This window comes from Homo sapiens, chromosome 5 (genome assembly GCF_000001405.40).
Source record: "Homo sapiens chromosome 5, GRCh38.p14 Primary Assembly".
Taxonomy (NCBI): Eukaryota; Metazoa; Chordata; class Mammalia; order Primates; family Hominidae; genus Homo; species Homo sapiens.
Genome location: NC_000005.10, coordinates 56901697 through 56929294, shown reverse-complemented (window position 1 = coordinate 56929294; position 27598 = coordinate 56901697). Strand labels below are relative to the sequence as shown.

Genomic DNA, 27598 nt, shown 5'->3' with positions numbered 1-27598 from the left:
CACCTGGCTAGAACTTGTGGTTTTGAAGTAAGACCAAAACAGAGCTTCTTTCCCCCAATAAAGGAGGTAGAGTTTTTTTTTCTAATTGAAAAATACGCTCATTGTTTAAAAAAATTTTTTTTAATCAGAAAAACAGGCATGTTATAGAAAACTTAAATTCTCATCCCATAATGTAGTGGAAAAAAAGCAGTGTTTATATTTTTGTATTCTAGACTTGAACTGTAGTATGCATGCTTTTGGTAATTCTAACTGAAATCTCCTGCATACAGAGAGAGAGAGAGAGAGAGAGTGTGTGTGTGTGTGAGAGAGAGAGTGTGTGTGTGTGAGAGAGAGAGAGAGTTTGTGACCTTTTACAGGGAAAACATACTGAAAATCAGTGATTCACATAAGAAAATTTGGGGGCCCATAAATTTTATTTTAAAATTTTTCTTAGAAGGAATGACTGCATGGACGGAAGAAGAATGCCGAAGCTTTGAACATGCACTCATGCTTTTTGGAAAAGATTTTCATCTTATACAGAAGAATAAGGTAAATTAGGCAGATTAGTACAGATAAATTACTAGTTACAGTGAATGTAAGCAACTAATTTATAAGTCACTTAAGTAGGAAAAAAGAACAACTTACTAATGTTCCCTTATAGCATTTCAGATATCATTCTAACATGACTAATTTGCTCAGAGATGCCACAGCCTGCTTATGGAATGGCTGATAGTATATTCACATATCTTTTCACATAAACAGTTGACACAGAAAGTGGACTCACTGTATTTTTTAGGAAGTCTCACTCTCATTTCTCCTTGACTTTCCTTTCTTATCAAGCCATTCAGAGGTTTGTGGCCTCAAAATAATTTCTCTTCAGCAGTGAGAGTAGCTGTTGCTGAAGGAAGAAACATTGTTACTAAAACAACTAGAAACATATTCTAACACCACCAAATGCTGGTAAGGATGGGAAGCAACAGGAACTCTTATTCATTGCCTGTAGGAATGCAAAGTGGTATGGCCACGTTGGAAGATAGCTTGGAAGTTTCTTATAATACCAACCATACTCTTACCGTATAATTAAATAATCCTGTTCCTTGGCATTTACCCAAATGCGTTGAAAACTTATGTCCACACAAAAGTGTTTATAGCAGCTTTCATCATAATTGCTAAAACTTGGAAGGAACCTGTATGTCCTTTGAGGTGAAAGGATAAACAAAGTGTGGCACCTCCAGAACTGGACTATTATTCAGCACTAAAAAAATTGAGCTAACAAGCCGCAAGGAGACATGTGAAATCCTAAATGCATATTATTAAGTGAAGGAAGCCAATCTGAAAAGACTCTATACTGTAGCTTTCCAAATATATGATATTCTGAAAAAAGCAAAACTATGGAAACAATAAAAAGATCACTGGTGCCAGGGCCGAGGCAGGAGGGAGAAGTGAATAGGCAGAGCACAGACCATTTTCAGGGCAATGAAACTACCCTGTATGATGATACTGTAATGATAGAGACATGTAATTACACATTTGTCAAAACCCATAGAATGTACATCATCAAGAGTAAACCCTAATGTAAACCATGGTCTTTGCGTGTTGATGTGTCAGTGTAGGTACATTGATTTTTTTAACAGATACACTACTCCAATGTAGGATGTTGAAAGTAGAACTTCAGGATATATAGGAACTCTCTACTTTCTGCTCAGTTCTGCTGTGAACCTCAAACTACTCTTAAAAACTAAAGTCTATTCAAAATACATATGTATGTTCATTAGAATAGTTTGGAATAATTCTCATTAAAATATGCTCTGTTTATTTCCTCTTTTCATCCTAAAGGAAGGCAGGGTTCTGAAGCATTTTGGTGGGTAGCTCAGTATTTTATGCTTTTATAAAAGCTAATGGACTTTAGTTTTTAGAGCAGTTTCAGGTTTACAGCAAAGTTAACCAGAAAGTATTGAGTTGCCTTATGTCCCTTCCACTCCTATAGTTATTATTATATCTTTTATTATTAATAGTGTGGTACATTTGTTAAAATTAATGAGCCAATATTGATACATTATTATTAATTAAAGTCCATAGTTTACATTAAGGTTCGCTCTTCATGTTGTACATTCCATTGATTTTGGCAAATATATAATGATACATATCCACCAGTACAGTATCATACAGAGTAGCTTCACTGACCTGAAAATCTCATGTTTTATTCTTCCCTCTGTCCCTTCCCCCTCCTCCCTAACAACTTCTAGCAGCCATTGATCTTTTTATTGTCTGTACTGTTGCCATTTCAGAATGTCATATAGTTGGAATTATACAGTATGCAGCCTTTTCAGATTGGCTTCTTTGACTTAGCAATATGCATTTAAGTTTTCACCATGGGGTTTTTTGTTTGTTTGTGTTTGTTTTGAGGCTTGATAGCTCATTCTTTTTTTTATCACTGAATAGTATTCCATTATATGGATGTACCAGTGTATTTATTCACTTACCTGTTAGAGGATACCTTGGTTGCTTCCAAGTTTTGGCAATTATCATTAAAGCTATAAATATTCATGTGCAGGTTTTTATGTGGATGTAGGTTTTCAATTCATTTGTCCAAATACGAAGGAGTAAGGATTACAGGATAGAATGGTGAAAATGTGTTTATTTTGCATGAAACTGCCAAACTGTCTTCCATTTAGTATTTCCAGCAGTAATGAATGAGTTCTATTGCTCTACATCTTCACCAGCATTTCGTGGTGTCAGTGTTTTGGATTTCACCACTGTAATAGTTTTTAATGCCATCTCTTTTTTGTTTTAATTTGTAATTCCCTCATGAGGATGATGTTGACCATCTTTTCTTATGCTTATTTGCCATTTGTGTGTTTTTTTTTCAGGTGTTCATTCAGATTTTTTGCCCAGATTTTAATTGGGTGGTTTGTATTCTTGTTGAGTTTAAGGAGTTATTTGTATATTTTGGATTCTAGTCCTTTATTAGATACATGTTTTGCAAATATTTTCTTCCATTTTGAGGCTTGTCTTTTTATTCCCTTGCCAGTGTGTTTGCAGAGTAAAAGTTTTTAATTTTAATTATGTCCAACTTAGAATTTCATCTGATTGTTCACACTTTTAGCATTTTATTTAAAAAAATCATTGCCAAACCTAAGGTCACCTAGATTTTCTACTGTTGTCTTCTAAGAGCTTTATAGTTTTGCATTTACATTTAGGTCTATAATCCATTTTGAGTTAATTTTTGAAAGGAGTAAGGTCTATGTCTAGATTCATTTCTCTTTTTTTTTATGTGGATGTCCAGTTGTACTAGCATCATTTGTGGAAAAGACATTCTTCCTCCATGGAATTGCCTTTGTTCTTTGGTTAAAGATCAGTTGACTGTACCCGTGGGGTGTATTTCTGGGCTCTCTCTTCTGTTCCTTTAATCTATTTGTCTTTCCCCACCCCCCCAATACCATACTGTCTTGATTACTATAGCTTTATAGTAAATCTTGAAGTTGGGGACTGTCAGTACTTTGATTTTATCTTTTCGTAATACTATGTTGGCTATTCTGGGTATTTTGCCTTTCCATATAAAATTAGTTTGTTGATACCCACAAAATAACTTGCTGGGATTTTGATTGGGTTTGTGCTAAATCGGTAGATCAAGCTAGGAAGAACTGACGTCTTAACAATGAAGTGTCTTCTTATCCATGAACATAGAATATTTCTTCGTTAAGTTCTTCTTTGATTTCTTTAATCAGAGTTTGGTAGTTTTTCTCATACAGATTTTGCATATATTTTGTTATATTTATACCCAAGTATTTTAATTTTGGGGTGCTAATGTAAATGGTCTTGTGTTTTAAATTTCAAATTTCAATCGTCATTGCTGTTATATAGGAAAGCAGTTGACTTTTGTGTATTAACCTTGTCTCCTGAAACTTTGCTGTAAGTGCTTATTAGTTACAGGCGATTTTTTGTTGATTCTTTGGAGTTTTCTACGTAGACAGTCATGTCACCTGTAAACAGAGACAGTTTTATTTCTTCCTTCCCAATCTGTATACTTTTTATTTCTTTTTCTTGTCTTACTGCATTAGCTAGACCTTCCAGTATTGATGTTGAAAATTTCACACTTTCTGTATGTTTGAAAATCTAATGTTTCTCAAAGATGAGATAAAGCGTATAATTTAAGACATTTTTAAAGAAGTCTGGATTGTCCTTTTAAGTAAAAAAAACCATCAGTTTTGTAATGACTTATGAAATTTACTCTATCCATTCATTCCGTAAACAGTTATGTCCTTCCACTTCACTTACCAGACATTGTTTTAGGCACTAGAGATACAACAGTGAATAAGACAGAAAAGGTCTGTAGCCCCACGAAGCCTGCATTCTCTGCGAAGACTTATAGTTAATGATGTTTATTGAAAGGTATACTGTATTTCTTGGTTTAAAAAGCTTATTCCCATATTAGTAATCTTATATCACAACTTACTCAGGAGTCAGGTTAGAGATACTGAAACTTCTTTATCGGGTACTGATTAAGCAAGGGAGAAAGCATTTATTGGATAAGGATGAAGAATTTTGTTCATACATCTGAATTCATATCTGTGGCTGTATGTGGTTAGAGGAACCCTGGTTTGGGTGTGGAGCCAAGGTGGTGAGGCTCAAATTTTATTGTTGTTGTTTCCAAAATCTGTTGGATCTAAAAACCAAACATACTGGAGGGAGAAAGCCCTGCCTTTAGCTAGCAAGTCATCTTAAATTCCAGATGCTGTAGACCGTTGGTCCATTTGCCAAGGGTTCTTAATCTCTTTTGGAAAGTGGAACTCAAATCTGATGAGGCTGCATTCCTTCTCTCCAGAAAAATATACCTAAATATAATTTTGTGAATTAATAGATCTCAATGAAATCCATTTATGGACCCCTCAGGGGTTAGTTAATCCAAAGTTAAGAACCCTCACTGTAGTCAAAATCACAGAGCTCAGTAAAGAAAAGTAAAGAATGCTAGTGTTTAAGATTTTCAGTGAAGGTGTAAGATAATTTCTGGATACACACTTGTTTTATAAACTAATACATTCTGATTTTTTTAAAAAAAAAACCTTGGGCTTTCGAAAATGGCCTCATTATTAAATGTAAAGGCATTCCACTAATCAAAGTGTTCAGAACTTTATAATTTATTAAAAGTGTTCAGAACTATATAATGGGAAAATAAGACCCATGGATTGAAGTTGTAGTGTTGTGGAAAAGAAAAGTTGCTTAAAAAAATGGTTGAGTTTGTTGGTTTTTTAAAAATTCAACTTTTTCATTAGGTGAGAACTAGGACAGTTGCTGAGTGTGTAGCATTCTACTATATGTGGAAGAAATCTGAACGTTATGATTACTTTGCTCAACAGACAAGATTTGGGAAAAAAAGATATAACCATCACCCTGGAGTTACGTAAGTACTGTGGCCTTGCCTTCAAAGACTTACTTTTAACTGTAATATATAGTCATAAAATTACTGGGGTGTGTTTTTCAGGGACTATATGGATCGTTTAGTAGATGAAACAGAAGCTTTGGGTGGGACGGTAAATGCTTCAGCCTTAACTTCTAACCGGCCTGAGCCTATTCCTGATCAACAGCTAAACATTCTCAACTCCTTCACTGCCAGTGACTTGACAGGTAAAATGAAGACCTTTCTGCATTTAGTACAGTTTGTTGCAAAATTGTGTCCTCTGTTTGATGTCATAGGACCACTTACTTAAACAATTTTCCATTCCTTTTTAGCTTTGACCAACAGTGTAGCAACCGTCTGCGACCCCACAGATGTGAATTGTTTGGATGATAGCTTTCCTCCACTGGGCAACACACCCCGTGGACAAGTTAATCATGTGCCTGTTGTAACAGAAGAGTTACTCACCCTGCCCAGCAATGGGGAAAGTGATTGTTTTAATTTATTTGAGACTGGATTTTATCACTCGGAGCTAAACCCTATGAACATGTGCAGTGAAGAGTCAGAGAGACCAGCAAAAAGATTGAAAATGGGCATTGCCGTCCCTGAATCCTTTATGAATGAAGTTTCTGTAAATAACCTGGGTGTGGACTTTGAAAATCACACACATCACATCACCAGTGCCAAAATGGCTGTTTCTGTGGCTGACTTTGGCAGTCTCTCTGCCAACGAGACCAATGGTTTCATCAGTGCCCATGCTCTGCATCAGCACGCGGCCCTACACTCTGAGTGACCTGAGTGAGGATCCCGGAACTGCGTGTGCAGCACCAGTAAACTTGAGGGGAGCTATCAGGTTTGCATAGTCTTTCACTGGAAGTTTGAACCTTTCTCACTATGACATCAGTGATGTCAGTATGTATAGAACTATATCTTGATTTATCAAGAGTATTTTCATTTTTCAATCCATAAATGTGGAAATGAACTATGATCAGCAGAGTTGGGAACTAAGATTGAACTCTGTGGTGCAGCTTTAAGCTCTGCTTCTCTCTTCCTCATCTCCCAATACCTCTTCCCCACTCCCTTCTTTTTCTATTCTTTTGTGTTCCCCACTGCCCTCACTCCCAATTTTAAAACCTGTAGACAGAGGCCACCAGCTCAAAACCAGCACAGATGTTCTGAACTGAATGGTGTGGCCTGTTTTTGTGTAAATTCCTTTTGCCGTAATGGATGCAGTGGAATAACAATGTTTACAGGTACCGATCCCGATCCCTGCTCAATGTAGCATTTTTTTGGTTTTATTTTCTTAATAAAAGCAGGGGTAGGTTTCTTTAAACTGCACAAACATGCAAGGATTTTTTAAAAATGGAAACTTCTCTCATGTTATTCAACTAGAGCACTTCAGTTTACAAAACAGCAAGTCCATCTTTATGGAAGCCAGCACAAGGAACTGTGTGCAAATAATGAAGACGCTTGCTTGGATCCTGTTTCAAAATTCTAGACCAGGGCTACCTTACACAGAATTGGTCATGTTACTGCCAGGAGATTTCTGTGTAACTTCATTTATTGGCTACAGTTTTGGCATTTGAAGATGTGGTACTCAGATGGGGTTTTGTCCACCATTGTCAAGATTGTAATCTTAAAAATCATACCAGTCATTGATAATTTAGTTTATCCTGAGGCAGTCGACTTGCAGAGGCACAGTCTACAAAGCCTAGGATGTTGCCACTCAATGGTTTACATTTTGGGACATCTTTTAAGTTGTTTGTAGCACTGCAGTTCAAAGTGTTAATATTTAGAGGGACTTCTAGATTTTATACCTAATGCAGTAGAACCTTGAAGTATATTTAAGCTTTTTTGTTAAGCTTGAACAGTTGGCAAGAATAATGTGAGTTCCTATCTGAAATAGAATGGTACATTACCACTTTTAAGTTTTAAAAATTGATAGATGTTCAGATGTATCTCAAACTCAGTTTTATTTTTATTCCAAATATTGTGAATGAGAAGCCATTGTCCTAAACTTTGGCCATTTTTGTGCTATAAACATGCATTTTTAAGTTATAAGGTGAATCAAACAATATGTAATACAGTATTAGGATGTAATCTTTGCTTTTGTAGTACTGTTAAAATAGAGAATTATGTTGTTTGCACCGTCTTAATTAAAATTCTTGATTTTTACTAGTTGCTTTGCAAAAAACAAATGTTTGGCTGCATTGCTAATATTTGTAAGTATAAGTTGCTTCAAGGTTGTGCTGATGAGTAGATAGGATGTAGTGATCTTAGTAGTGATTGAAAGGGAGGGTATTTATTATACAAACTGTGAACTGCAATGACATCCTTAGTTTTGGATGATGTGTATTCTTGTTTTTCTTTGCAGCATTTTAATGAAGATTGCTTTGAAGTGTTTACGCAGTAGCACATTAGTATAAAATTTAGTTTAGCACAGTGGACAAAAAGTAGTTAAATTAATAACTTAAAATCAGTCTCTAATTTATACATCTGAAGTATAGCATTCCTGTATGCACACAGTAAATAATGGGTAGCCTGGGCTCTGTGTTACTTTCTTGTATTTTTATCCAAGTTGTCAGCTTCTTATTGCTGTGTTGTTGTGCTAAACTTTGAACCTTATTTCTTTTATTAAAAATCAGTACACTTTCTATAATTTAGTAAGATACTGGCCATAATCTTCCATTGTTATAACCTTAATTTTCACTCTGGGTTTACAGTGGCTGGTCTGTATAAATAATTTACACAAAGATGACTGAATGCTAATACCAGTTGCACTTAAATGAACATGCCCATTCTCAGTAGCTGATGCAGTAATATATTCAGTTTATCTATGCATTGCTGGGGTCTTGATATAAGATGGAAACAGTGTTTCTTATCTAAAGTTTTGATTATCAGCAAGTTGAATGGACACTTTAGTTATTTAAATAAAGATTTTTGACCAAAATCCAGAAAATGGTATGAGAGAAAAATAAATTCCAGCTAGTTTAATAGATTTTTAAATGTCAATCTGATTTTAGCCTCTTAGAGAGTGCTAACTAGCTGGTAATGTTTACTTTTAATTCCTTGTTAAAATGAGGCAATAATTTGCAAGATTTTTGTATATAAGTGTAAATTCTTCATATCTTTTTAGATCTAATTCAATATTTTCTGACTACTTCTGCCATGTATAATACCATTTTTGTGCATGCTTGATGTGACATTCATAAATTGTACCACTATGACTTTATCCATGTAAAATAGCTATTTATTGAATTTTCTTTTAAAAGCTGGATTTACTGGGTTTTTTTTTTCTCTCAGTTTAAACATCTTAACAGAGAATTTGTTACTGTTTATTAAAAGAATTGCATTTGGAAGCAAGAAAACAACCGGATTTGCAATCATGTGAAGAAACAATAATGCCTTTATTATCAAGTGTTAAGCACAATTCTTATAACAAACTGTGATAAATTCTTTTTGTTTTTTTTTCCTTTGCCCCATTATTTTCTTATGAACAAACCAAAAATTCATGGTGAGCAGTTGCAGTGTTGGCTGATATATCTTTTATGTACAGGGAATTTGAAAAGGACAGTGGATTCATTTAGAAGTGTAACTGGTGCTGTGATTATAGCAATACATTTGTTAGTTGTACTTCATCTTTTTCATGCTAGCTTTTTAAATGTTTAGTTTTCCTCTTGTCATGGTCAGCTGCTGAATTTACTTGAAGGATGTAGAATACTGTTTAAAAAATACTAAAATTTGTACAATTAGATCAAAGAATTGTGCAATCATTTCCTTTTTAATTTTTAAAATGTTGAGGCTCATAAATATTTGAGAACATCAGATCTAATAGAGCATAGTGATACTATTTAATTTAACCAAAGTCTCTAGTGAATATTTCAACTTTGAATGTAAACTAACAAATAAACCTGACCACCAAGGAGATTGTTTGCCCAGAGTTTCAAAGCACATTGTCTACAAATGGAAATTGAAATAATTTATAAAATATTGACGTTACTATGTTTTTTAAAAAGTTCCTAATTTTTTCACTAAATGGAGGAAACTATTAGTTTTATTGTTAAATATGGTAGATATTAATATTCCTCTTAGATGACCAGTGATTCCAATTGTCCCAGTTTGAAATAAGTACCCTGTGAGTATGAGATAAATTAGTGACAATCAGAACAAGTTTCAGTATCAGATGTTCAAGAGGAAGTTGCTATTGCATTGATTTTAATATTTGTACATAAACACTGATTTTTTTGAGCATTATTTTGTATTTGTTGTACTTTAATACCTGGTGTACAGTTCCAGAAATAAAAATCTGGGAATCTTTTTTTCTTGGTTTGTGTGAATATTTGCCAAAAATACAGATATTTTATTTAATGAATCTTAAGCTACAGCAAATAGATAGATATTATACCACTGTTAAATTGGTTTTAGATGCAGTAAATAAGATATATGATAGATAGTGAAGTTGGTAGATTAAATATTTTCCTTAAATCCTCTATAATTTCCATCTATAATAAAAGTCCCCCTGTAATCCCAACACTTTGAGAGGCCGAGGCGGGCAGATCATGAGGTCAGGAGTTCAAGACCAGCCTGACCAACATAGTGAAACCCCGTCTCTACTAAAAATACAAAAATCAGCCGAGCGAGGTGGCGCATGCCTGTAACCCCAGCTACTCAGGAGGCTGAGGCAGGAAAATTGCTTGAACCCTGGGGGTGGTGGTTGCAGTGAGCTGAGATCCTGCCATTGCACTCCAGCCTGGACAACAGACTGAGACTCCATCTCAAAAAAAAAAAAAAAAAGAAGTCCCAAAGTAAGGATTATACTTTTAGTTTAATTCAGGAAACATTTATTATGTTTCAAACGCTGTTCTAGGTAACTGTCTTTTATGAAGACAGACAGATCTGAAATTTGGTCAAATATTATTATTATTTGACAGACTACATTTATGGTCAACTAGTCTTCCTTATCCATACGATTCATAGTTTGACCGTAGTCATATCTATCTTTCCTAAACATCTTTTTAAGCTAAAGCTCCTATCTTGCCATTATTTCACAAGTTTGTCCCCATATTTCATTTCCTCTGACCAGAGCTTTATGTAGTTCCATTTTTAAGATGCAGTGATCAGCTTGCCCATAATATCCAAAGTTTGTACAAGGCCAAGAAGGGGATAAAAGGAAAGCAAAAATCTTGACTCCTCTGCTTTGGTTACTTGACTAAAACCACATCCCTTCCTTGTCAGACACGAAAGGACCTTAGCACATAGGGCTCTGTGGTGGACACATGCACAGAAGTGCCTTCAGAGCAGGGACAAGCACACATATTCCGAATACAGCAAGAATGCAACAATGTGCCATGTGAGAGCTCAGAGTATTTTCAGGCTTTAGGAGACGGAAAAGCCTGTGGAAGCAGGATAATCTAGTACATCTGTTACTAGAAGTCATTTTGGCCATAATTTCCATCTATGGTACGCTTTTTGAGCTTGCTGGTGGTAAGTGCTAAAGAGAATGAGGAATATGTCAGGGTTGGGAGCAGTGAGGGATTGTAAATTTCAGTGGGGTGATGAGGCAACGCTCCTCACTGAGGTGACAGGAAGGGAGAGAACAAGCTATGTGGCTGTCTGGGGGAAGATGTTTACAGGCAGAGAGAACTAAGTGCAAAAGTCCTTGGTTGGGAATGTGCCTGGCAGGTTTGGGGAGTGGCCAGGAGGCAGGTGTGGGTTGGGATGGAGTGAGCAAGGGGAGAAAGGAGAGGAGCTCTTGAGGTCATGAGCAGGTTATGCATGTGAAGGACTTCAGCATTTACTCCATGATAGGGAGAGGGTTTTGAGCAGACGTATGTCAATACCTGACTTTCATTTAAAAGAATCACACTTGGTGATATGTTCTGTAAGGGGGACAGGAGTGGAAACAAGGAAGGCAATTGAGAGGCTACTGAAATTGCAATAAACTAGGTGAGTAAAGCTGGTGGTAAGGAAGTGAAGGTAATCAGAATCTGGTCATATAGGTTCCATGAATTTTTGAGGGATCCAGTAAAGAACACCCTCCTTCCTATCCAAGTTTGGAACTGAGAGAGCTGGAGTCAGGTCGATGGAGGTCAAAGTAACTATTGCTAATAAAACGGGAAGGTAGCTTCAGGGCTGCAGCCAGGTTGGCCTGCCAATATATTACACCTCTGGACTCACTCTGTCACTGGCTGGGCTGGCTACAGGCTATTCTCTGCACAAGGCAGAGAACTGCCAGGACACATTCTTTCTGCTGGCAGCCAGAGTCCACAGGGAAGGAACTAGAAGGGTATATAGGACATGGGTGCCTAGTTATTCTCCAAACATAATCAGGGAGTCAATCTCCCTCCAGTGGGTGGAGAGAGAGGCTAGGAACATTAACCAGTGGAAGCCCTCCACATGAAGACATGAGACACGGGGAATAAGTGTTCCTCCCACCAACACTATCTTGCACTTTTTTTCCACCTTTTCTTTGGTGTGAAAATGTTCAAAGAGTAAAGAAAATAGTAATAATGACCTCACATTTTCCCCTCAGCCAGCTAGAGCAATCTTTACATTATACATAGACACACCAATTTACTCATGGCAACACAATAGGTATTTTTTACTCAATTCTGTAAAAATAAAGTTTTTACAGAAGTTTGTACACATCAGCAGTACTACAAGAACTGCTGATGCCTGGCTACAATTTTATAAACCACCACAGAGCTTACAAAATAAACAAAAGAAAAATTGAAATTATAAGTTCAAAGAGTAGGTTTTAATTTAATAAGCTATTGTGTATTTAGGTGAAAACCAATTAAACTTGGAATTGCATTACAAATTTGAAATTGTAATGAAGCAAGTAGCTTTTATCATGAAATTGGAACATAAATATAATATCAACAAAAACATAAGAAATTCCTATTCCAATTAAGTCTCAAAATATTTGTTTTACAGGTAGAACTCAGAGAAGTGATTAACAAAAAACACTTAGAATTAATAGCTGAGTAGAAAACCTAATAATTTCTGATTCACAGAGTTAGCTGACAATTGTGTAGTAGTTTGAAAAAAGCTCTTCTCCTTGATTGATGTCCCTAAGTGCGACAAGAACAACACATCGAAGTGGGCTGAAAACAAAAAGATATACAAAAGGTAGAGCATTAACAAATATAAGCTCATATTTTTAATATAACCAAGATGGCTTTTATAGAGGTAACTTTACTCAGGTTCCTTCCATTTTAGTTTATGCATTTGATTTCCATGAGGAAATAGTTCTTATTCCTGATGCAGGTATTCTAAAGAGTATATCTATATCATTTAAAAAATCACAAATCAATGTTTATACAACTGACTACTTCTTCTGAAAACATTGTTTCTAAGTTTAGGCCCCCAAAACTAGTATCACAAAAAGGATTTTAAAATGACATTATAGTTTTTCTTGCATTCATTTGTATCTTATATCCTGAAAAATGAAAACATTACTTAAAATTAGTTGGAGTTTTAAAAAAATGCTTTTTTCTGGACATCATAAAATATTGTTTGTTTTTTTTGAGATGGAATCTCACTCTGTCACCCAGGCTGGTGTGCAGTGGTGTGACCTTGGCTCACTGCAACCTCTGCCTCCCGGGTTCAAGCGATTCTCCTGCCTCAGCCTCCTGAGTAGCTGGGATTACAGGTGCGTGCCACCACGCCTGACTAATTTTTGTATTTTTAGTAGAGATGAGGTTTCACCATGTTGGTCAGGCTGTTCTCAAACTCCTGACCTTGTGATCCGCCCGCCTCGGCCTCCCAAAGTGCTGGGATTACAGGCATGAGCCACCGCACCCAGCCTAGATATTGTTACATATATACATTCAAAGTTCTAATAACATCATGCCCCGGAGTATATGGCTAAGAAAAGCTAATAGTTAAACACACAAACATACACATGCAGAGAAGCAAAAGTTATCAAGTTTTTGGTTTTTGTTTTTTTCCTGTTTTGGGACAGGATCTGGCTCTGTCACCCAGGCTGCAGTGCAGTGGTGCCATCTCAGCTCAATGCAACATACACCTCCCAAGTCAAGGATCCTCCCACCTCAGCTTCCCAAGTAGCTGGGACTACAGGTACACACCACCACACCCAGCTAATTTTTGTATTTTTTGTAGAGAAGGGGTTTTGTCATGTTGTCTGGGCTGGTTTCGAATTCCTGTGCTCAAGCAATCCACCCACCTTGGCCTCCCAAAGTGCTGAGATTACAGGCTTGAGGTACCGTGTCTGGCCTCAAGTTTTAAGTATAAATAATAGTTCATGTTTTAAATGTCATTCATCTTAGAAGGACAATTTAATAGGTCCTATATAAAATAAAGTTTGCTAGCAACTCAACAAAATAATACAAAGATTGTATCTTCCTACAGCACTGTTAAGAAAGAACTCTTAGCTCTCCAGAATTACCTATATTTTAAAATTGTTATTTGAATATTCTCAGTAGACTTTCCACTGAATGAACAGGAAATAAATGCTATGTTAAAATATGTGTCTTCTGAATACAGTCCTTTTTTATTTAGTTTCATTATTAAGAACCTAATAGTGAAATTGGCAAAGGAATCATAGTGTAATTTGGCCTCTTTCTTCAATTGGATGCTTTCTTATAAGGTAGAGAACATGATATTATAAATGATTAAAGTAAAGATATATTTGAAGATTTTGTAGGTAGGAAAAACAACAGAATTATTTGAAAAAACTTTAAGGTGGATACTTATGAAGTATTGCCATAGAATAAAAATGGGTAAAAATAAACAGAATGAGCTAGTTTAAAGGAAAATTTTAAATTTCAAATAAGCCTACATTAACACGTTAAGGTGTGAACATAAAAATCTGAGTTATAATTTTTCACTAAAAAAAAAATTTTACCCCAAATTCTACATAGCTTTTTCTTCTATATTTTTTTAAGTACAGCATAAGCAGAAGATATGAAATGCTCTTTTAGCAAACGAACCTTTGTTTGTCATAGCTGTAGGCAATGTTTGGAAGATACTGCTTCAGTTCTATAGGGAAAACTGCAGGCACATCAAATTCCTGATAACAGACATTAGCTGCTCTGTCTAGGAACAAGCACATCATTTTTAGAAAAAGAGCCATTATACAAGGTCATGGAAAACAGAATTGAATTATGACACTCAATGTCTGTTTTTCTAAATTATCAAAACATGATCAAAATAATTACTACTATGTTCCAGGTACTGTCAGAGTTTATTTACGTATATATATTTGCAGATATATATGGTAAATCATAAATATATAAAATAAAATATTCAAAAAGACATATATAAAACATGTTTTATTACTTTTTGCATAAACAACATATATAATAACATATGTTTAGATAATATCTACCAACATACATAATAAACATATATGTATGTTTTATTGTTTACTTTTTATATATCAGGAAATAGAGGCTCAGAAATGTTAAAGGTTAAATACTAATAAAAGAGTCAGGCTTGGACTTCGTTTCTCACTAACGCCAAAGCCCATGTTAAATGTATTCAAACAATCAAACTTTTACCTATGGGAAAGTCAACTCCTAAAGAAGATATAGATAGGGACTCACAAACTTAGCAACAGAAAGCAGATACTAGTCTAGCCATTAATCTATAAGGCTATATTGAAGCACTGACATAATAATTTCTATTTTTAAAATGCTAAAATAATAATGATCAAAGGGGAGTTATCAATTGCCTATATTCACTGCAAAATCAGAAGAAAAATAGTAAATTAAACAATTCTAAATAATGTATATCAAGATTTCCCCTAATTCTCTCTAATATCATCCCCCAAAAGTGAGAGTTGCTTAAGGACTTGACTAGCTTATTATATGTTATACTCAACTGCCCTTGGCACTCAGTCATATGACAAAGGAGTAGAATTAGCCATTGATATATCTCATCTCACAGCCCCATGATGCCTTCTTACCATTGGAACAATTGTTGACATACTGTCCCACAGCCAGAGGGTTATGAATTTCTGACGTTAGCCATGTACTATCACTCATTTTTAAAGGGCCGAGTCGATCCCTCCCATTGCAAGATCTGAAACAAGTGAAAGCATTAGCTAATGGATCTGTATCTTAAAATAGAATCCTAAAATACAAAACCCTAGAATTACACCAGTGCATTTTTTCTTAAAAAAAAAAAAAAAAGACTTTAGTATAATCAGTAGGGCAACTGAGTTGTTACACAGCAGCTATCTAAACAGAATTTTATTCAAAGTATAAATGCTGGCCAGGCGCAGTGGCTCACGCCTGTAATCCCAATACTTTGGGAGGCTGAGGCAGGCAGATCACTTGAGGTCTAGAGTTCGAGACCAGCCTGGCCAACATGGTGAAACCCCAACTCTACTAAAAATACAAAAATTATCTGGGCCTGGTGGTGCACACCTGTAATCCCAGCTACTTGGGAGGCTGAGGCAGGAAAATCACTTGAACCCGGGAGGCAGAGGTTGCAGTGAGCAGAGACCGCACTGTTGCACTCCAGCCTGGGCGACAGAGCAAGACTCTGTCTCAAAAAAAAAAAAAAGTAAAAAAAATAATAAAATGAAGCATAAATGCTGAGCTGGGTGTGGTGGCTCAAGCCTGTAATCCCAGCACTTTGGAAGGCCGAGATGGGAGGGTCGCTTGAGGCCAGGAGTTCAAAACCAGCCTGGACAACATAGCAAGACCCCATCTCTTTATATAAAAAATAAATAAAGTACAAATGCTATTAGTCATAATCATTGTGGTAAGTGCGGTTCTGTCTCCTATAATTAAATTTGAACATGGGCATCACTTACCTGTACACAACTTTTGATATCCCTTTGTCATTCCCATCAATGAGTACCCCATCCAGGCATCTAAAAATAAACGGATTTCCAATGGACTGGAAAAAGATCGGCTCATACTTCTGATATACTGTACCTATTACACAACAAGACAAAGAAATATGATAACAACATGAAAAATCATAAACACTGCGATAAGAACCCTTCTTTGGAATATAATCACATTCTCTTTAGTTACTTTCTCCCTCTTAAAGCGTGAACGCCCAATAGCAGATGGAGCACAGAACCAACTCATCCACACAGCAAAACAGAATATGGCTATCTTGGTTAATGATAATATGAACATCACATTTTAGGCTCAGTTTTACAAAGTCATATATATACATATACACATTTATATGTATATGTGTATATATATACACACACACATATATATTTAAGTAGAATGTGATTTAACATCTAAAGAGTTTGAAGAAATTTATTTTGCTAATAATTAAATAATGTAGACACATATGGGAATAGATGAGTCTGACATTAAGGCTGTTTCTCCTTTCACTGGCAAAAGACGAAATGAGAAAATATTTACCGAGTGCTTCCTATGTTCCAGGCATGTTAATCTATTTATTAAACTTCTTTTAGTATTAATTTATTTATTCTATTTAGTCTTTACAAAATTAGATTACTCGTACAGCAGGAAACTGAAACTCCCTTGTTTGGGGATGTAAAATTAGAAAACAGGAGAATGAATTTTTAAAAACCTGGGTCTATCTGACTCAAATATTCACACACACACTTTCCACTATACCAAATAATATAATGTTAGTTTAACACATAACGTAGTCTATTTAGCATTCTAGTTAATGATCTTGTGCCAAGAAATTGCCTTACTTTCCAAGTGTAGAAAGGGCAGGAAGGTCTTCATTCGGTGACTTATGGGTTTAAATGTTGTCTTTTATGTTTTGATCCGTACGCTTTTTTTTTTTCTTTTTTTTGAGATGGAGCCTAGCACTGTCACCCAGGCTGGAGCGCAATGGCACAATCTCGGCTCACTGCAACCTCCGCCTCCCGGGTTCACGCCATTCTCCTGCCTCAACCTCCTGAATAGCTGGGATTACAGGTGCACACCACCACACCTGGCTAATTTCTTGTATTTTCAGTAGAGACAGGGTTTCACTATGTTGGCCAGACTGGTCTCAAACCCCTCGCGATCTGCCCGCCTCGGCCTCCCAAAGTGCTGGGATTACCGGCGTGAGCCTATCCATACCATTTTTATCCTTAGCTATCAATTAAACCAAACTGACATGTTTCTCTAGTGCTTTTTAAGTAATTTGTCAAAGTGGGTCATACTATGTTCTAAATTTAAACGTTGACAGGAAAGCTTTCCTTGAAAGAAAAAGTGCATTTATCCCAACAAATACTCCAGGATACTTTCTAACACAAAACAATTTACAAACAGTTAATTTCCGAATTAGAATTGCAAAAATCTATGGAAACTCGAGTTTCCAATTTAATCCCTTACTCTAAGGATTGCAAGGCTGGGTATGTTACTGAACTTATGTTTATCAATACGTAAGAAGCTTGGCAAAGTATAATATTAATCGTGCTGTTACCAGGATACATAGATACGACTGCGCCTTTTGGTACCAATCCTTTAGTAACGAAGACACCTTTTCCAGCAGAAATCAATGAGCTAGTTGCTTGGGCAACACTGAAACCCAAAGTCTTGTAAAGAATTTCTTCTGGTTTAAAGGTACTTTGCTGTTGATGTCTGTTTTCAAGCAGTTTCACCCCTTGATGTTCAACTGCCAGTAGGTCTTGATATTTTGATTTAACAGATTCTGGAAGCATAGACAAGATTTCTGATTGTTTATTGAAATCATTTAAGAATAGAGCCTGGAAAACTTTCAGTAATGTTCCTAGGACATCTTCATCTGAGATAACTTTGTCTTTGGATTCCTCTGGAACATATCGGAGGGTCCTGAAAATGGGAAAAGTTTCTATTCACTACCCTTCAACTGATAAAAGCCAAACTTACCTGCATAACTTCTGGGTTCCTGGCCTTAAGGAACTATAAGCTTATTCTCATGTGTGTGGAGGGCTGGAAACTAAGTTCAGAAAAGAATTGTTTGAGGGAGTTCTAGTTAGCTAACTCCCAACACTTCCCACCCAAGTAGTCAGTACTTATGAAAGGCCCATTCTATACCACATGCTGTGGGGTCCTTACATTATTCCATTTTTGCAGACAAGGAAAGCAAAATTGTTAGGGAACTTGTTCAAGGTCCCAAAGCCAGTAAGTGGGAGAGCCAGAGGCAGAAACGAAGTTCAGCTCTTTCCCGTACTACACCCAACAGCCAAGCTGAATGTCATCACAATGAGAATGAATGACCTCACATTCAATGGCTTTTTAAAAATGGCCTTGTAGTTTCAAAGACAAATTCAACATCGTATACTTTGTGACACTCCCTCCAGGACGACTAACGTCTTCAATGACTGCACCTCTTATTTCCATAATCATTATCTTTTTGTACTAACTGCATTATTTTTACTTGAACAAAAAGGTTGTAATTCCCGCCTCACGGTTCCGAGTCATGATACAACTGATCTCCTGTTTCCCTAGCATGCAACCTTCCGGAAACCGCTTTGTTTCCCTATTTGTCGGACACTGACTTCAGGGAGGCCCGGTCGGCCTCTTTGGTGAGCACGGTGTTGAGCTGATCACTGGTGCGCCCTTAATAACGCCGGCGGGACTCACCCCAATCCGAAACCCACCATCCCGACGTGCTTTTGAGTGGCGTTCTGCCCGTTCTTAACGCGCGAGCTACTGCACGCTATTCTCACAGCCGGGATGGGCTTCTTTAACCACGTGAAGTACTTGTATGAACTATGAAAATAAACCCTGGCTTGGCTTTTCTGAGGAAGTTCAAGCACCTAATTAACCCCTGGTGGAGAAAAAGCCACGCACTCTCACGCGGTAAGGGCAGTCTTTTTAAAAAGTTTCCATTTTTGCCCAGATACAAGCTCCCCAGTCAGTGCCGAACGCAACAGGGAAGAACAGGCGACACATCCGGCTGGCGAGCTCGGCCTCGCGGGCCCGGCAGCGCAGCGGACACTGGGAAAGAGGCCATAGGCCCCGCCCACCTGAAGCCACCGCCCACTTCAGGCTTCCAGCGGGCCTCGGACTCCACCAACCTCGGCCCCGCCCGCCTCTGGCCCGCGTTCCTTAAACCCCTCCGAGGCCTCAGTCCCCGCCCACCCGGCCCGCCCACCTCAGTCCCTGCCCACCCGGGCCCGCCCATCTCAGGCCGGCAGTCAGCCTCAGGCTCTCCGCTTTGCGTCCCGCCGCCGTGGTGGCGTCTGGGAACCGAAGGCAGGTGCCCCTCGTTCTGCCGTCCCGCCCTCTCACCTCGGGTTGTGGCTTAGGTTCAGTGCGATCCAGGGAACGAAGCGGTACTTGTAACGGCGCCATCGCTGCCACAGGCCCCGCAGCAGACGGCCAGGCATGGCTGCCCCGCGGGGCCGTGACCAGGACGGCGCGGGGAAGGCGGATCGAGGCCTCGGGCCCGCCCCGGCCCGGGAGGAGAGGGGGCCGCGCTCGGCCGCCTTCCCCTGGCTCCGCTCTCAGTGTTCCTGGCACCGCCTGACTTCTGTTGCTCTGGGGCTTCGTCCTTCCCCTTTCCTGACCTCACCTCTCTGAATGAGAGGCGCGTAGAGCTGGAAGGAGGTCCCCTTGACCACTTTTTCTTTCTCCGGTCGCTCGGGTGCTTCCGTGGGCGCACACAAGCGCTAGCCCTGGTTGCGGGCGAAGGGTCACCGGGCCTCAGGGGCGAACCCGCCCCCGAGACCGCGTCCCAGGAGCGGACCGCCTAGTTTCTCTGTCACGGCTGTCTGGCCTGCCCCTTTGTCCCGGCCGCGCTCTGTGTTCCATCCTCCGTCCACTTGAGCTCTGCCTCTTCCTCGACGTTCTCTCCCCTTCTCTCCGTGGCCCCAGAGCAGCCCGACTTCGGGAACCCGAGTTTCAGTCCTCCCCAGACAGCAGCCCTTCTTCTGCGTGAACCCGTGTTCCCAAAGTTACCAGTTTGGGCGTTTTGCGAATATTTACACGTAAAAAAACAAAGTGTCATGATTCCCTGTTTTCACTCGTTTTTCTCTTCATTGACCCAACCATTCAAAGGCAAAACTACATGGACAAATGTTTCTGAAAAACAGCTTTGTTGAGGAATGGTTGGGATACAATAAACTGCACATATTTAAAGTGAACAATTTGATAGGTTTTCGACACCACAGCCAAGATAGTAATCCAGCCCCTCCCCCAGTCCCCAAGCAACCACTGAGGTGCTTTTGTCCTTTTAATATGGTCTTCGCTTCAATTTGGAAACGTTTTGTCTAGAAGTTCTGCATCTGTGTTCGTGAGAGATATTGTTTCGTAGTTTTCTTGTAGTGTCTTAATCTGGCTTTGGTATTTAGGCTAATGTTGACTTCATAGGATGAGGTGGGAAGTAGTCCCCCATAGGTGAAATTTAAAAGGAACTTTACGACCGCTCCTCCCCAACACCCAGATGCATGCACACGCACACACATATTTAGAACAGGTTTGGACAAAGTTCAGTTTTAAGGGGGGCAAACTACAGGAATCCCTTAACCATATTCAAATCACCAAGTGTTTATTGACAGATAAATACGTTGGTATCATTTCCTCTATTCTTTGCCTGAGAGTGAGGTTGGATCCTAAACTATTGAAATTGAACGGCTCAGATCTAATAAAAACTCAGCCAAGGCCGGGCGCAGTGGCTCACGCCTGTAATCCCAGCACTTTGGGAGGCCGAGGCGGGTGGATCCCCTGAGGTCAGGAGTTCGGGACCAATCTGGCCAACATGGCGAAACCCCGTCTTTACTAAAAAAGAACAAATACAAAAATTAGCCGAGCGTTGGTGGCACGTGCCTGTAGTCCCAGCTACTCAGGAGGCTGAGGCAGAAGAATCGCTTGAACCTGAGAGACGGAGGTTGCAGGGAGCCGAGATCCGCCACTGCACTCCAGCCTGGGTGACAGAGTGAGATCCCGTCTCAAAAAAAAAAAAAATTCAGCCAATCGCCAGTAGCTGCGGGACTAATTTGTTCTATTCTGAAAGAAATAAAGAGAAAGAGTATCTACCAATGTCTCTATTTCGTTCATATCATATAGAATGTTAGCAAACTCTAGAGGCTTTCTCTCAGACTCTGTGTTTGTTTGATAATTTGGCATAATCTAGATTTACCTGACTTGCTAAATGGAGTCAATTCAGTTCCAGGATGTATTAATAAGTGGCATACAAGAAAGTTTCTTTATAGTCTCCAAACTTAACAAAGAACCCAAAAGAACTAGTTTAATCTTTACCTATGGTAATGTACTTGTCTAAAAAAAGAAAAAAATCAGTTTTTGTATATTTTTACAGTTTTTTTATATTTATGGTATTAAAATTAAATTTTGGTTAGCTAAGTAATTAATGAAAACCTTCTTTTTCTAGTTTCTTAAAGTAGGTTATTAGGTCACTAATTTTAATCTTTTCTTCTTTTCTAATGGAAGCATCTAAAGTTATACAAATAGAAACATGGTAGCTAAAGCTCAAGTCACCCTTAACCAAACACCGTACCTTGTACTTCCACCAATCCTGGTACTTGGCGCTTCTCAGAAGTTATCAGACGGGTGTGTTTTCTGCCAGTTTTATTTTTATGTATTTACATACCCGCGTATGTTTTTATAGAAAATACATAGTATTTTGTGTGAGTATTGTTAAAATATTATAAGGATCCACAACTTATTTGATTTCCTCAAAAATACATCTTGAAGATCTACCCATATTGGTTTAAGTCTACTGCATTCTTCTATTTTTGAGGTTTTGCCTTCAAGTTTAATATTTACTGTAGTTTTCTAGTAGGTATGTATACTTTATGAAGTTTTTTAAAGTTCTATTTTTGACTTTCCAAAAATTTTTATTGTTTTAAATTTTAAATGAATGATAAATATCAAATGCTTTTCTCTGCTTATTGAGATGACCATATAGTTTCTATTCATTTATTCATGTAGTGAATGATGACACATTGTCAAATGTTGACCGTCCTTGGATTTCTGACATAACTACTCAGTTATGAGTACCTCTTTGGTCAGATCCTGTAGGTTTTAATATATGCTATTGTCATCCCACATTTATTTTGAAGTATGTTTTAAAATTTTTTAGATAGAATTTGCCTGTGAAAACATCTGGGCTTGTAATTTTCTTTGATAATAAATTCAACTTATTTTAAAGATATAGGGCTATTCATAATGTCCGTTTCATCTTGTGTTGTTTGGTAAGTTATATTTTTATGGAATTTGTTCATTTTGTCTAAGTTGCCAAATATCTTGGTATAAAGTTGTTTATAAATACTGTCTTACTAACCTTTTAATGTCTGTATGATCTGTTGTAATAGCCCATTTTTGTTCCTGATTTTGGTGATTTGTGTTCTCTTCTTCATCATTGTAATTGAGGGTTTGTCAATCTTTTCAAAGAAACAGCTTTTGGCTTTATTACTTTTCCCTGCTTATTTTTTATTTTGTTGACCTCTGTTCTTATCTTTTTTCTCTCTTTTTTTATTTTTAGTGATGGGGTCTCACTGTGTTGCCTGAACTGGTCCCCAAGTGACCCAACTGCCTATGCCTTCCAAATAATTGGAATTACAGGCATAAGTCACCGTGACCAGTCATATTCTTATCTTTATTATTTTATGTTTTCTACTTAAACATAAAGTAGTTTATTTTTCTCTTCTTTTTCTAGTTTCTTAGAATAGAATATTAGGTCACTGATTTTGGTCTTTCCTTCATTTCTATAGAAGCATCTAAAGTTATAACTATCCTTCCAAACATTACTGTAGCCAAATCTCAGGAATTTTGATATGTTGTATTTTCATTATCATTCAGTACAAAATATTTTTAAAATTTCTTTGTTATTTATGTTTTTAATCCATGAAATATTTAGAAATGTGTTTTTAATTTCCAAATATTTGGGATTTCTAGATATCTTATTGTAACTGGTGTTTAGTTTAATTCTGTTGTGTCAGAAAACATGAATGATTTCAATTCTTTTAAATTTATTGACTTGTTTTGTGTCCCAGCATGCACTCTATCTTGGTGAATATACCGTGTTCAGTTGAAAGGAGTGTATATTCTGTAGTTGTTGGGTTTAGGGTTCTATAAATATTAAGTAGGTCATTGGTTCATAGTGTCTTTTAAATCATCTGTCTTTATTGATTTACATAACTTTTAAATACAGATGAATGAAGAATGACAATTTGACAGACAGTTTTATAATATATCATAGATAGCAAGCAAAAGATTGGCCACGATGGGCATGGAGATATGCTGCTATCCAAAATTACCCTCTTCTTCTGACTCTTTTTCCCACTTCCTGTTGTTTCCAGTTTCCCCAAATACTCTACCCAATTGAATATAAGAATGTATGTGCTGTGTTTTCCATTTAAAACCCATTTATGCTATAAATCACAAAACTACTGTGTAGGAAAAATGTTCTTTTTTGAGACAGGGTATAGCTCACTGCAGCCTCCAAACTCTTGGGTTCAAGCAATCCTCCCTCCTTATTCTCCCCAAGTAGCTGGGATTACAGGCATGCACCACCATGCCTGGCTAATTTTTTAATTTTTAATTTTGTAGAGATGGGGTCTCACTATGTTGCCCAGGCTTGTCTTGAACTCCTGAGCTCAATCGGTCCTCCTGCCTTGGCCTCCCAAAGTGCTGAGATTACAGACGTGAGGCACTGCACCTGGCTGGTAAAATCATCTTTAACATCAGTGTCCTAAATATTATAAATAAGGCATGTATGCCTGGACAGATTGTAACTTCCAGAGTTCAAAATGAGATTAACTTGATTTTTAAATAATTTATTGAACTTCTATTATGTCCCGAGCTCTAGTGCAGGAGACAGATACTAAGTAAACACATAAATAATGTCAGACAGTGATAAATGCAATAAAGAAAACAAGGCAGGATAATGAGAAGAGAGTGGGCTGGATATCTTATGTAGCCTGTCCAGATCCACTGTCCACACCCTGGGGGATTGACTGGCTTGCACATCAACAAGGTCCCTCATCTTCCTGCTTCCAAGTGGATTCAACCAGTGGAGAGCACTGGCAGGAAACTGCAAGAAGAGAGGAGAGTGAGGTGCTGGTCTCTGTGTACTGGCTGTATTCCAACCTAAGGTCCTCTCCATGTAGTCTTATGTGTTTCCGGGTTTCATTCAAGCCTATGGATGGTAACAGCACTCTATTATTGCCAACTCCACAGTTCTGTGTACTATCCTTGTGGTTTCCCTTCATTCTGTCCATGCTGTTACACAATTATTTTCAAATGTCTTAATTTGTGTGTGTCATCTGTTTCCTGCTGGGACCCCACTCTCTTTATGTGGGTCACATGGTGTGGGATTAGGGGTATCAATTTTCGATAGGGTGATGACATGAATGGCTGAGACCTGAATAAGAAGGCAACGAACTTGAAAATATCCACGGGGAGATTCTCCCAATGGGAAATGCAAAGGCACTGAGGTAGTGATATGGTTTGGATGTTTTTATCCCTCCAAATCTCATGTTAAAATGTGACCTCCAGTGTTGGAGATGTGCCTAGTGGGAGGTGTTTGGGTCATGAGGGCAGATCCCTCACCTATGGCCTGGTGCTGTCCTCACCTCAATGAGTGAGTTCTTGCTGTGTGAGTTCATGCGAGAGCTGGTTGTTGAAAAGAGCCTGGCATCTCCTCTCTCCCTTGCTCCCTCTCTCTGTATGTGATACACCAGCTCCCCCTTTGCCTTCGGCTATGATTGGAAGCTTCCTGAGGGCTTACCAGGAGCAGATGCTCCAGCGCCACACTTCTCATACAGTTGGCAGAACTGTGAGGCAAAATAAACCTCTTTTCTTTATAAATTATTCAGTCTCAGGTGTTCCTTATTGCAATGCAAATGGACAAGCATGGGTGGGGAGGAGCTTCACATGTTCAAGCAGGGAAAATAAGGTTATGGAACAGGGTAAGTAAGAAAAAGTGAAAGATGAAGTCAGGGAGAAAGAGAAGATGCCAAGTCCTGTAGGTCCTGGTGAGGAGTTGGGATTCTTAGTGTAATGGGAAGCCACTGGAGGGTTTTAAGCAGGAGGGTAATAGGATCTGATTCATGTTTTAAAAAGATCACTTTGGATATTATGTGGTGAAAAGGTGGGCAATCACCACACCGGTAAGGCCAATTAGGAGGTGAATACAGTAGTTTAGGCAGAGATGATGGTAGCTTAGACTAGAATGGTAACTGTGGAGATGGAGAGGGTGGATGGATTAGGATTCTATTTTGGAGGAACTCACAGGACTTGCCAATGGATTCGATATGGGAAGGTGAAGTTTTGAAATGCCTCCAAGAAATGTCAAGTATCTAGTTGAATATTGTCACATCTGGAGCTCCGAAGCCATAGCTGGTGATAGAGTCTTTAGCCAGAGCCCTGGATGAGATCACCTAGGAAGAAAAGGGGGATGGCAAAGAACATAGATTGAGCAGTGACCATGAAGTCACCTGTCAATAAATGCAGAACCCTCATAACTTGGTCAAAAGCAGTTTTGGTGATAGGTTTGAGTGTGTTTGAGTGCGTTGAGAAGCAAATGTGAGGTGAGGAATGGGAAACAAGTGTGTGTGTCTCTTTCAGTAAATTTTATGGAAAGAGAAGAAGAGAAATGGAGCCAAAGGCAGAGAATAATTCAGTAAGATAAAAGATCTCGTAGCATATTTGTGTGTTGATGGGAATGACCCAACACAGAGAAGGAAAATGTGGTGTGTGTGTGTGTGTGTTTATTGGGTGTCAGGGGGACAGAGGAAGTAGCAGGCACAACTTTGATTTCACAATTCTGTGCTGGAAGAGAGATAATAGTTAGAGATAGTGGATATTCTGTAGGCTATTTGAATAGCTATGTAGTCTAATGTGGGTAACATAACTGGCAAATATTTATTCATTGAAAACTGTATGCCTAGGTACAACTTTAAAAGATTACAGTCTACTTGGGAAAACATATAATTTCTAAAAATTAAATATTAATTACCATAGAATTTCAGTGTGAGCTACTGGAGTTGGGGAGTGCTTCAAGGAGAAATAAGTAGAAGAGAAGTGGAAGGGATTAACAGAAGCCAGCAATTCTCAAATGTGGCCTGGGGACCCTGGGGGTCCCTAGGATTTTTTCTGGGCTCTATGAGGTCAAAATTATTTTCTTAATCATACTAAGTTGTATTTGTCTTTACTCTCATTCTTTCTTGAGGGTACAGTGGAGTTTCCAGAGGTTACATGATGTGTGATAAAACAACAGATTGAATGCACAAGCAGATATGAGGATCCAACTGCCTTGTATTAAGTTAGAAATTACATAGATTTGGCCAGGCACAGTGGCTCACGCCTGTAATCCCAGCACTTTGGGAGGCCAAGGCGGGCGAATCCCTTGAGGTCAGGAGTTTGACACCAGCCTGGCCAACATGGTGAAAACCTGTCTCTATTAAAAATATAAAAATTAGCTGGGCATGATGGTGGGTGCCTGTAATCCCAGCTACTCGGGAGGCTGAGGCACGAGAATTGCTTGAACCCGGGAGGCAGAGGTTGCAGTGAGCTGAGATGGCGCCACTGCACTCTCGTCTGGGTGACAGAGTGAGACTCCCTCTCAAAAAAAAAAAAAATTATATAGATTTGAAAAAAATATAAAACATGCCACTCTTCCTATTTTTTGGGGGGTGAAATATAGCTATTTTCATAAAGATATGTTATCTGATTTAACATGTAATAAGTTTTAATAGTTATTTCTAGTGAATTAATGCATTTTTATGTATTTATCAGTTTTAATATTGATACAGTAAATAGCAGCTATTAACCACATGAACAAAAGGTCCTTGGGGGCTTCTGATAATTTTTAAAAGTGTAATGGGGTCTGAAGACAAAAATATTTGGGAAATTGAGTGTTAGAACCACATATTGTGATTCAAAATTTTGAGAAGGAAAGTATGTGACACTTCATTGAATGTTGTAGTTAATACCAGTTCTATGAATTATAGTAGTATGTTACATATTGATGATATTAGACAAAGTATTTTAAAATAATTTTGTGCTGCAGGACCTAAAATATTGCATAAAAAGGAGGAGAAAATGATCTCTGCTAGTCTTTGTATGAATTAGCAAAAGGCACCTTTTCCTTTGGCCACTTTACTGCCATCGACTGTAAAAAAATGTAATAAATATACAAATCTATTAGGACTATACTGTGCAGCATGCTCCATATAGGTATGTAGTACACCAGCTAGTTTTGGCAGTCTTGGGAATCGACTGGAAGGTTCTGTGGCAGCACTTCTTGACTGCTCTGAGAACAAAAAGTTTGAAAACCACTGGTGTGAGGGAAGGTGCAGAGGTGGGGTGGAACACA

The 27598-nt window shown here is 38.1% G+C and overlaps 2 protein-coding genes across 20 annotated transcripts in view, besides 5 other annotated features; one reads left to right on the top strand and one right to left on the bottom strand.

The window, feature by feature from the left end:
* The window catches only part of MIER3 (MIER family member 3), a 32607-nt gene extending 22915 nt beyond the window's left edge, over positions 1 to 9692 (top strand). For 5 of the 7 annotated variants that reach the window (XM_047416840.1, NM_001297599.2, NM_001297598.2 and 2 more), the window contains exons 10-13: positions 434 to 528; positions 5253 to 5380; positions 5462 to 5604; positions 5710 to 9692. In XM_047416840.1, the coding sequence (XP_047272796.1) occupies positions 434 to 528; positions 5253 to 5380; positions 5462 to 5604; positions 5710 to 6167 (824 nt within the window). In that variant the 3' untranslated portion in view covers positions 6168 to 9692. The remainder of the gene's footprint in view (positions 1 to 433; positions 529 to 5252; positions 5381 to 5461; positions 5605 to 5709) is intronic. The other 2 variants (NM_152622.5, XM_011543217.3) reach the window with 1 other exon arrangement.
* Positions 395 to 20035, bottom strand: SETD9 (SET domain containing 9). Of its 13 annotated transcripts, none has more exons than NM_001171990.3 (6): positions 19552 to 19699; positions 17759 to 18126; positions 16161 to 16284; positions 15306 to 15421; positions 14329 to 14434; positions 395 to 3962 (listed from the first exon to the last, which is right to left on the bottom strand). In NM_001171990.3, the coding sequence occupies exons 1-6, from the start codon at positions 19647 to 19649 to the stop codon at positions 3959 to 3961; spliced, it is 816 nt and encodes a 271-aa protein (NP_001165461.1). In that variant the 5' UTR covers positions 19650 to 19699; the 3' UTR covers positions 395 to 3958. The 13 variants fall into 13 exon arrangements, 9 of the variants coding, with proteins under 9 accessions (NP_001165461.1, XP_005248483.1, XP_011541442.1 ...); XM_005248426.5 differs by lacking the exons at positions 395 to 3962; positions 19552 to 19699 and adding exons at positions 11947 to 12480; positions 19835 to 19943 and having other exon boundaries at positions 17037 to 18126; XM_011543140.4 differs by lacking the exons at positions 395 to 3962; positions 19552 to 19699 and adding exons at positions 11947 to 12480; positions 19835 to 19943.
* Positions 18217 to 19038: an enhancer, noted in NCBI's record as "H3K27ac hESC enhancer chr5:56206084-56206905 (GRCh37/hg19 assembly coordinates)". NCBI's record gives its function as "activates a minimal SCP1, AML or CMV promoter by ChIP-STARR-seq in naive H9 embryonic stem cells {active_cell/tissue: H9 hESC(naive)}" and the evidence as "EXISTENCE:reporter gene assay evidence [ECO:0000049][PMID:30033119]".
* Positions 19134 to 19183: an enhancer, noted in NCBI's record as "active region_22574". NCBI's record gives its function as "activates an Ori minimal core promoter by ATAC-STARR-seq in GM12878 lymphoblastoid cells {active_cell/tissue: GM12878}" and the evidence as "EXISTENCE:reporter gene assay evidence [ECO:0000049][PMID:35858748]".
* Positions 19224 to 19433: a silencer, noted in NCBI's record as "silent region_16025". NCBI's record gives its function as "represses an Ori minimal core promoter by ATAC-STARR-seq in GM12878 lymphoblastoid cells {active_cell/tissue: GM12878}" and the evidence as "EXISTENCE:reporter gene assay evidence [ECO:0000049][PMID:35858748]".
* Positions 19614 to 19823: a silencer, noted in NCBI's record as "silent region_16024". NCBI's record gives its function as "represses an Ori minimal core promoter by ATAC-STARR-seq in GM12878 lymphoblastoid cells {active_cell/tissue: GM12878}" and the evidence as "EXISTENCE:reporter gene assay evidence [ECO:0000049][PMID:35858748]".
* Positions 19974 to 20063: an enhancer, noted in NCBI's record as "active region_22573". NCBI's record gives its function as "activates an Ori minimal core promoter by ATAC-STARR-seq in GM12878 lymphoblastoid cells {active_cell/tissue: GM12878}" and the evidence as "EXISTENCE:reporter gene assay evidence [ECO:0000049][PMID:35858748]".